General features: G+C 36.5%; 1 long non-coding RNA gene across 1 annotated transcript; it reads left to right on the top strand.

Moving 5' to 3' along the window:
* The first annotated feature begins 8,175 nt into the window (after positions 1-8,175).
* LOC124900847 (uncharacterized) lies at positions 8,176-10,039 on the top strand. Its single transcript, XR_007058444.1, has 2 exons — positions 8,176-9,209; positions 9,715-10,039. It is a non-coding gene; the product is annotated as an uncharacterized LOC124900847 (long non-coding RNA).
* The last annotated feature ends 306 nt before the right edge of the window (positions 10,040-10,345 follow it).

Genomic DNA, 10,345 nt, shown 5'->3' with positions numbered 1-10,345 from the left:
TGACTATGTATCTTAGGGATGATCGTCCTGTGTAGTAACTTGCAGCTGTTCTCTGCATTTCCTGGATTTGAATGTTGGCCTCTCTAGCAAAGGTGGAGAAATTTTCATGTGTGATATCCTCAAGTATGTTTCCCAAATTGCTTGCTTTCTCTCCCTTTCTTTCAGGGATGTTACCGAGGCATAGATTTGGTTTTGTTACATGGTTCCATATTTCTCAGAAGTTTTGTTCTTTCCCCTTCATTATTTTTTCTTTATTTTTTTCTGACTGAGTTATTTTGGAGAACGAGTTTTTAAGCTCTGAGATTCTTTCCTCAGATTGGTTTATTGTGCTGTTATTACTTGCAATGGTATTATAAAATTCTTGAAGTGAGTTTTTCAGCTCTATCATTTCACTTGGGTTCTTTCTTAAAATGGCCATTTTATATTTTCTCTTTTATAACTTTTTATTGTATTCCTTAGATTTCTTGGATTGGGTTTCAAATTTCTCCTAGATGTTGACAATTTTTATGCCTATTTATATTTTGAATTCTATTTCTGACATTTTAGCCACTGCACCCTTGTTGAGAACCATTGCTGGGGAGCTGGTGTGGTCATTTGGAGGTAAGAAGACACTGGCTATTTGTGTTGCTAGAGTTCTTCCACTGTTTTTTTTTTTTTTCCTCATCTGTGTGGACCAATGTTCCTTCGATCTTTGAAGCTGCTATCCTTTGGGTGAGTTCCTTTATTTTTATCTTCTTTGATGCCTTTGGGGGTTTGATTGTGATATAAAGGTGAGTTCAGTTGACTGGCTTTGATTCTAGTTTGCTCATGGGTCTTGAAGGAGCCTATTTCAATGACTTTCTTCATGTGCATGTTTCTTTGACAGGTGTTCTTGTCCCTGGGGCTTCCTCAGTCTGGAGTCACAGTTGGGAGACAGGCTGTATTCTTGCTGGATTAGACCTAATCTGCTGTCTGAGTGCTTTCTGGGGAAACACTTGGTTTTACCTGTCCACAGAGTTCAGGCAGAAGTGGAACCACTGGGCTGGAAACTGTAGTGTGTGTGGCCCTTCTGGCTATGAGAGGCAGGTGTAGGTGGATGGTGTTGCCTGCCCTGCCATCTGGGTGTCTCCACAGTAACAGCAGGTGGTGCCCCTTAGAAAATTCAGGCAGAAGTGAGACTCCTGGGCTGGAAGCTCTAGCAAGTGAGGCTCACCTGGCGAGCAGTGGTGGAGGTTGGTGGGATCACCTGCTCTGCTGTCCAGGTGCTTCCCAGGATAACAGGAGTCTAAGCTTGATGGGTGATTTCAGAAAAAGTAGGATCACTGGGTCCAAAGCTGGAGCAAGAATTGTTTGCTTGGCTACCAGTGGTGGTGGGTGGTGTCACTTGCCCTGATATCTGAGTGCTTCCAGGGACATGCAATTGCTTTTAAAATGAGGGTAAGAACAGAGAAAATATGCTGTAATAATATATATATATATTTTAATAATTGCCTTCATACTTCCCTTTACTTCTTTGGTTTTTCAAATGTAGATTTGAAACTACAGCCTGATGTCACTAGCTTTTAGCCTGAAGAACTTCCTTTAGCATTTATTTTAAGGCAGGTATGATAGCAACATATTGTTCCAGCTTTGGCATATCTGGGATTAATTTTGTTTCATTTTCATTTTGTAAAAGACAGTTTCATTTCTTGTTTCTGTTCTTCATTGTTTCTAATAAGAAGTCAACTGTTAATCTTACTGGAGTTCCATTTAAGTGATGAATCATTTTTGTCTTACAGGATACAATATTTTCTCTTTATCTTTGGCTTTCAGTATCTTGGCTATGATAATTTTAGTTGTGGCTCTTTTTTCATTTATTCTACATATAGTTTATTGGGTTTGCAGATGTGTTTTTAATCAATTTGTAAGAATTTTCAGCCATTATTTCTTCACGGTTTTTCTCTCCCTTTCTCCTTTCCTTTAGGCAATCTCATGACATTCCTGTTGGTGTGTTTAATGGCACACTGTGCTCTCTGAGGCTCTATTCATTTTTCCTTATTTTTACCCACTGATCTGATTATTTATCCCTATTGATCTACCTTAAAGTTTGCTGATTCTTTCTTCTGTCACCTCAAATCTACTGTTGAGTTTAGTAAACTTTTTTGTCTTGGTTATTGTAACTTTCCACTCCATAATTTCTATGTAACTGTATGTTGACCTACTCACAACTTGATATTATATATTTATTTTCATTCAGAGAATTATACATTTTGGGTAAGAATTAGCACTTTTAAATTACATGATTAAAGATATAGAAAATGCTTCTGTTAAACCAAAACTTCTGGAATAATAATACAATGTATTTCATTTACTGCTTTTATTGTGTTTTTTTGGTGTGTGTGTGTATGCGTGTGTATGACAAATATCTGGCTGTTTTAATAATAGTTTACTGTAGCAATTTCTAAATGTAAGAGTGTCATTAAGACTAATTTAACATTATTAGTCTTTAAAAATGTTTAACATTGCTATAAATTGTTCACAAAATGTATGTATTTTGCCCTAATTTATTAATATTATTTACTAAGATTAAACATCTTCTGCAATGTTAATTTGTTTTAATTAAGCATAAATACTTCCATTTTAATTAAAATTCCCAAATAAAATGTTTGAATACAAAGTTCATGTCACCCTAAATAGAATCAGGATCAAGTAACAAATAAATTTATACAAGCAATAATAACTCATAGCCATTACCACAGAATCATCTAACTTAATCATAAATTATTTTTATATATTTTAATAACAATACGCAGATATAACTATTTTGAAGATGCATTGTTTCTTGTGCTTACAAAATTTATTGTGCAGATTTCTCAAGAGAAAGTATTGTGTGTGTTTGTGTATATCATTAGTTGTCTAGTGATTGAAAGTATTAGTTTTAAAAAGAGAAAAATTGTATTGCTTTGGACACAGTTTGCACTCTAGTCTTTAATGGCGATTCCTTCTAAATTTTTTCATTGTTTCTACTGGAATACACAAAATAGTAAACTGATATTATGGGAAAATGTTACTAGCTAGTTAGATAATTCCTAGTACCTTTGAAAATCACAACCACCACATATTTAATTGTTTTATTTCAATTTTCAGATATTGAATAAAGGTCAGCAACTAAGATTTTTTTTCAGATGATTACTTAATATATACCAAATTAACATTCTTTTTTATCTGTAATATTTTAGCTTTTCATATTTGTTACTTCATATACTTCTTTTTTATTGAGTCTATAGTAATACTTGAAATTAAAAAAACAAAAAAAATGTTTATTAGAAGCTAACTTCTTAATAAAATCACATAATTGGTACAAACTGAAAAGCAAGATTCTTACATTTCTCTTCCCTGGGTCCATGTAAGAGTCTGTGAATGCAACAGAAAAATAGACTGGCATCATTTCAGTTTTCTGTTTTTAATCCTATCAGTAATGGCAGCGTAACCTTGGAAATGGCCAACCTCCTTATAATTCTCTCAGCCTAATATGCAGAAGAAGGGAGAAGCCTTGATTTGATAATCCTTAGAGTACCTTCAATTTTCAAATCAAAGATTCCTTGACAATCTATTCAGTTGTGTGTGTCTGCCCCATGTGCATGTTCGTATGTGTGAGAGTCTACACTTCTGTGCATAAGTATATGCAATAAAATAACAGATTGTAGCGCAAAAAAAAAACTTTACTTGAAATTGTTTCTATTATCCCTGTTTATATGTAAGCACTTATAATAATTGTATGGCAAAGTGGTTACAGGGAAAGAAGAGACTATAATTTTGGAGACAGAGATATAAACTTACTGCAAATATCTTACACTAATGGTTGACACTGTATAGGTACCTTACTGTGTTGCATCACTAAATATCACAGAAATCCCAAGAGGAAAGTTGCCTGATCCACATTTTACAGATGAGCAAACTGAGTTCCAGAGACATCAAGTAACTTGACCAATGACAGACAAGAACTGAGGAAGGGAACAAAGTGTGTTGGAAAAGAGAGGTAATATGAGAAAGTCAGAGAGGCGATAAAGAAATAAAAGGAAACAAGTCAGAGAAACCTGATTAAGTTTTCACTTAAAATCTGATTAGTTGGAAAACTTAACTCATTGAAAGTAAAGTGCTTCTGTGGTCCACAATTTTCCCAATGCTAAAAGAAAAGCAGTCATATGTGGTCAGTACATAATAATGGAAAGAAAACAGGACTAGGGAGAGAGAGAGAAAAAAAAAAAGAGAGAGACACTTGTTCTGGCTCTGGCTCTGTACTCATTAATAGCATTCATTATTTATTAAGTTTTAATATGCCTTGTACTGTTCCCATATTCTTTTTTTTATATTTTATTTTATTTTATTTTATTTTATTTTATTTTATTTTATTTTGAGGTGAAGTCTTGCTCTGTTGCCCAGGCTGGAGTGCAGTGGTGTGATCTCATCTCACTGCAAGCTCTGCCTCCTGGATTCACACCATTCTCCAGCCTCAGCCTCCCGAGTAGCTGGGACTACAGGCACCCGCCACCACGCCTGCCTAATTTTTGTATTTTTGGTAGAGATGGGGTTTCACCATGTTGTTCAGGCTGGTATCAAACTCCTGACCTCAGGTGATCTGCCCACCTCAGCCTCCCTAAGTGCTGGGATTACAGGTGTGAACCACTGCACCTGGCCCTATTGTTAAATACTAGCTAATTGGAGCTAACTAGTTCCATATTGTTAAATACTAGCTAATTTAACCCCAGTAACAATCATTTGATATAGAAACAATTGTCATCATCTTTTCTTTACATGTAAGGAAACTAAGTATAGAGATTTCTGGTAATTTGCTCATGGTTACACTGCCAACAGAAAATGAAGCTGGGATGAGAATTCTGGCATTTTCTCACTATAACTGCACTGTGCAATATGGCAGCCACTAGCCTCATATGCCTACTGAGCATTTAAAATAAGGATAATCCTAATTAAGATATGCTCTAACTGTAAACACTGAATTTTGAATACTTCCTATCAAAACAAAAAGTTTAACTATGGATTACATACTGAAACAATCATGTTTTATATAAGTTGGGTTAAATACGACATATTATCAAAATTAATTACATCTGCTTACTCTTTTCATTTTGGAAAATGTGGCTACTTTAATTTAAAATTTTAAAATTAAATCTGTGGCTCATATTCTATTTAGTTTGGACCATGCTGCTCTAGAGCATGGTTAAAAGTGTTTTTTATTAAAATACAATATTCCTTCCTGTTATCTGTAGCAGAATAAATCTATGTTTCTGTTATTATTTTAGTTTATTCAGTAAATTCTCATATACCCTTGGTAGAAGTGAGATGCTGTACACTTTTAGCTACATAAATGTAAGGCAAATGGGCCCCCTTTGAGCTAGAGCTTGCCTAAAAATGGAATGGGTTAGCTAAAATTTCTTAGTTGAGATATTGACTTAGCAACTAGATGGAGAGCAACTCAATTTTCATAAGGATCTCAGGGCATTCTGGAGTGGGGGTAGGAAGCAATATCTCAACTTCAGTACTCCAGGCATATAAGTTAGAGAATTAGTTAGGTGTAAAACAAAGCGGTTTAGATTATGGCCAGTAGTAGAGGGAGTAATTAGTCCTGGAAGTTAAATGACCTTGAGGACTAGAAATCTAGACTCACAAAAAGGACTAAGATGTTGTGTAAGATGTTTGCTTTTGGCATAATCTGTTGCTGAAACCAAATATCCTTTCAAGATATAGCCAACTTTGGAGATGCTGGGAGACAATGAATGAGAGGGTAAATATGAGTAGACAGAATTGTGATTTTGGTCCCCAGTGTGGAGACCACTACAAAATATCAGCTGGGAGACAGAGGAGAAAGGCATCACTCCAGATACTAAGCATTTGTCTTACACTTGTTCCTCAACTTCAGTATTAATGTGAGTCAAGAAGAAGCAAGGGCAGTAGTTAACTGATCAGATTTGAATGCTTTCTCTGCTCTATTTTTGGATTCAGTCTCCATGGCTTCTGGTAATTTTTGCAAGGGAGCCCTCAGCGGGTATTTTGATCACCTGCTGTCTATCCTCTTGGTGAAGGAGGGATTCCCCTAACCTTAGTACAATATGGCTGAAAATTGAATATCTGGCCCCAGACAGATGAGATAGACAGCCATTTATCAGTCAAATATACTCATAGCCCAGGAAAGGAGGACACCTCACACCACGAAGAACCACATGGGGATTACACTTGGGAACAGTATAAAAAAACAACAACTATGGGGGGCAGGTTTGGTAGTTACACAAGAATGAGATATCCCCTGGTTTCTACGGGAGGATGTGATTGATTTCAATGATTTCTTGTGTTGGTAGGGAAGTAAAACTGGGTAGGTTGAGGACTGGATGGACTGTAGTTTGTCCATCTGATAAAGAAACTGGCTGTTCGGGTGGGAATCTTATCTGGCCAGAGCAGAAGAAGTCACAGTTAGGCCTTCAGGGCCCAGTGAGACTCAAAGATGTCAGAACAGCACATGATATTTAGGCTTTATAACACTACCAAAAACTTTTGGACTTCTATGACTGGCCAGGTGAGTACACGAGCAATTAATTGGAAAATGTATGAGGGGACTATATTTATAAACTTGAGCATAAATACAGAGATGGTGTATTAATCCATTTTCACGCTGCTATTAGGATATACCTGAGACTGGGTAATTAATAAAGGAAAGAGGTTTGACTCACAGGTCCACAGGTCTGGGGAGGCCTCAGGAAACTTACAATCATGGCAGAAGGGGAAACAACCCATCCTTCTTCACATAGCAACAGCAAGGAGAAGTGCCAAATAAAGAGGCAGGAAAAACCCATTATAAAATCATCAGATCTTGTGAGAACTCACTCACTATCATGAGAACAGCATGGAGGTAACTGCTCCCACTATTCAATTACCTCCCACTGGGCACCTCCCATGACATATGAGGATTATGGGAACTACAATTCAAGATGAGATTTGGGTGAGGACACAGCCAAGCCATATCAGATGGTTTCCTCTTAGTATATGTAGCCTTTTGGTTCTGCTGACTTCCCCGTAGGGTAGTCAAAGCAGGTATTTTTTATTGCTATTTACAAGTGAAAGACTGAATAATAACAGGTAAGCAGGTTTAGAACTCATCCTTCCTGACTCCTAGTCAATTAATTTTTCTTTACACTGCTGTTTAGAAGACTGTGTCACTTGTTTGTATAGAGTCAACCACATGTTTAACCTCCAGACCAATAAAACTGAGTGACAATAAATCACAGTTTATTTTGGTAGTATATGTTGAGTTTAGGAGAGTTCTAAAAAGAAACCAACAGGAAACTTGAGTTTCTCTGCTGTTATAATCTGAATGTTTGTGTTCCTCTAAAATTCATATGTTGAAGCTTAATCACCAAGATGATGGTATTAGGAGGTGGGGCATTTGAAAGATGATTAGGTCATAAGGATGAGACTCTCAGGAATGAGGTTAGTACCCTTATGAAGGAGGCCTTCCGGAGCTGCCTTGCCCCTTCTGCCATGTGAGAACACAGCAAGAAGGCAACGTTTATGAACCAGGAAATGGACCCTCACCAAATATTGAATACGCTGACACTTTATTTTGGATTTCCCAACCTCTAGAACTGTGAGAAATAAATTTCTGTTTATAAACCATCCAGTCTATAGCATTTTGTTATAGCAGCTTGATTGGACTAAGGAACCTGAAGAGAATGGCTTACTCTACTCCGTAACTTTACATCAAATATGACTCATTCACTACCCATCTTATTCCAATGACCTTTTTAATCTTGATGAATTAATAAGAATGAAAATGAAAGTGACAGCAGCTGAGAGCTGTCTGAAGGGATGTTTTATGTCATTATGGCTCCAACAAAAGTACAATAACTGTCATTAGCATTAGGTGGTAGCCCCCAGGGAGCAAATCCACTACCTGAAATGTTTCTTCCATTCTATCAAATTGTTTAAGAAGTCAGTTCAGAGTCTAAGGTCATTTCTATGACAAAAGAGCTTAGGAACTGTATGACAAAATATCCTAAAATGATATTTTTGTTGTTATAAACTAATGGATATATTTAATGGCTTATCTAGCATGTACACTTTGTCTAATAACATTGCAAAAATATTAATAAAATTAGGTTGCCTTTGTCTGATTTGTTTCCACTGAAATATCATAGCTAATGTGAGGAAACATTTTTTCCTCTGATCATTTAAAATTAACTTTTTTTCTTTCTAATTATATTGGCTGATTTTTTCCAAATGGCTCTTATGGATTTCTATTTAATGTCTCACACTTTCCTACTGTAGTTGGTTAAGCAGGCATTGTTATCCTAGTTTTCTCAATGAGGTAAGGGGGTATCAGAGAAGTTGAAATAATTCAAATATTTGGCACAGCTGTAGGAGTGAAGAAAAGTGGTAAACACCTGAGTCTGTCTCTTGAGTCAGTAATCTCTCCTCTACTCTAGTAAAATTCAATGTCTTGCTCCATAAACCCTTGCTCTCTTCTTGTAACTCCAAACACTCCATAGCAATGGGTTGTGGGCATTTGAAAAATTTCAACTTGCTAACAAATGGCCATTTGCTGAGTCCTAAATTTATGGTAGGCACAGTGCCAAGCACATTAGATGCATAATTAATGCTCAAGGTACACTATATTACAGATGTCTTCATCTCATTTTACAGATAAGGATAATTGACTTTTGAAGAAGTTAAATACCTAGCCCAAAGCCACATAGCTACTCTCAAATGAACACCAGGAAAATTTTATCTTCCCTAATACATGCCAGAAATTTGGGAAAGGAAGACCAAGAATTTATTCTACTCATCAAGAGTGAGGTTTTAAATGTGCATCACTTTTTCATATTTGAAAAAAAGAAATTAATGGAGAAGGAGGCAGAAGGATGCCTGAGAATCAAGGTAGCATTGTTTATTCCCTCAACTTTTCAAATGGGCTGTTAGTTCATTGAGTGGCAAAGCCATGCCTGATTTATCTTTTAGTTCCAATTGGTCTGTTAATTTGAGAACAGTAGAAGCTCATTACATATTTGTGAAAAGAATATTTTAGAAGCAGAATTTTGAAAAACTTGTGTATGTGTAACTGTCCCCTTCAGGGATCTGCTTGTATTTTCTTGGCTCTCCATTGCTCCTGTACACAACCTTGCCTTCATATTATAGACTTCTGCTGCTCCCTGCCTTAAGGCTTTTTCCTGGAACAAGAGCAGGTATGTCCCTTGTGCAAGGCAGGATGAGAACGCTGGAGAGTTATTCTTCCAGAGTAATGACAGGTGGCAGTCATTGGAAAAGTAACCCACTGTCTTAATCCTTGGGTGGGAAAAGTCTGAGGAATATTCTAGTATTACTTCGAGGTCCTCAGTTGGATTAAGTCCCTACTGCCCCTCTGGGATACCTGCTTCATTTACAACCCTGTTTTGTCACCCTTTTCTTCTCTGTCTCAACTCTGCAATCTACCTGTGTGTTCTGAGATCACCTCCCAAATAAAATCCTTGCACTAAAATTCAGGGTTTGCTTCTGGGGAAACCCCCAAAAGCTATCTTCCTCAAAGTTTCAAAATAAGCCATTCAGAAGGCTGTGTGTAATAGATAATAATAGCTAGCACTTATTAGTGAACATTTACTATTTGCAAGATACAACTTTTCATGTCTCACAATTCTAATAAGGAGGTAATAGTAATTATTAGAGATAATAGTAATTATTGCTATTTTACAGATGAGAATACTAAGGCACTAGTTGATTAAGCAGTGTGCTCGGACATCACAGATGATCAACATTGAGAAAAGGTCTTGCTCTAATTATGATTAAAATAATTGATTTACCATCAGAATGCTTGTTGAATATGATACTTTGGAGACTTGAGTATATTATTTTGCTTAAGTAATGCAAATGTGTGCATTTATTATTCAGTATATGTGATCACAACATTTATAACAAAAGCAACTTGTGTATAGGGATGCTGCCAAATATCTGGCAAACTTGGACTGTGAAGAGCTAGTTTGTGTAAATTTTGGCTTTCAATAAAGCACAAGGACATGTATTAACAGAGTTGATTCCTTCTGACTTGATACCCCATAGTATTTCAGTTATATAATTAATCAGGTCTTTCTTTTCTTCCCTCTACTCCTTCTGTTCTTCCTTCTCAGCTTTCCTCATTCTCTTCTTTCCACTCTATCCCTTCCCTTACTCTTCCTTCTCCTCTCTTTTGCTGTTTTTATAATGGTTCCAGAGAACTTAGTTTTCCTTTCTTCCTTCCCCTTCCTTCCTTCCTGCCTCCCTCCCTTTCCCCCTTCCTTCCTTCCTTCTTTCCTTCCTTTCCTTCCTCCCTCCCTTCCCCTCCCCTCCT

The sequence above is a fragment of the Homo sapiens genome, chromosome 4 (genome assembly GCF_000001405.40).
Source record: "Homo sapiens chromosome 4, GRCh38.p14 Primary Assembly".
NCBI classification, from domain to species: Eukaryota; Metazoa; Chordata; class Mammalia; order Primates; family Hominidae; genus Homo; species Homo sapiens.
This window is presented reverse-complemented; position numbering and strand designations above follow the sequence as displayed.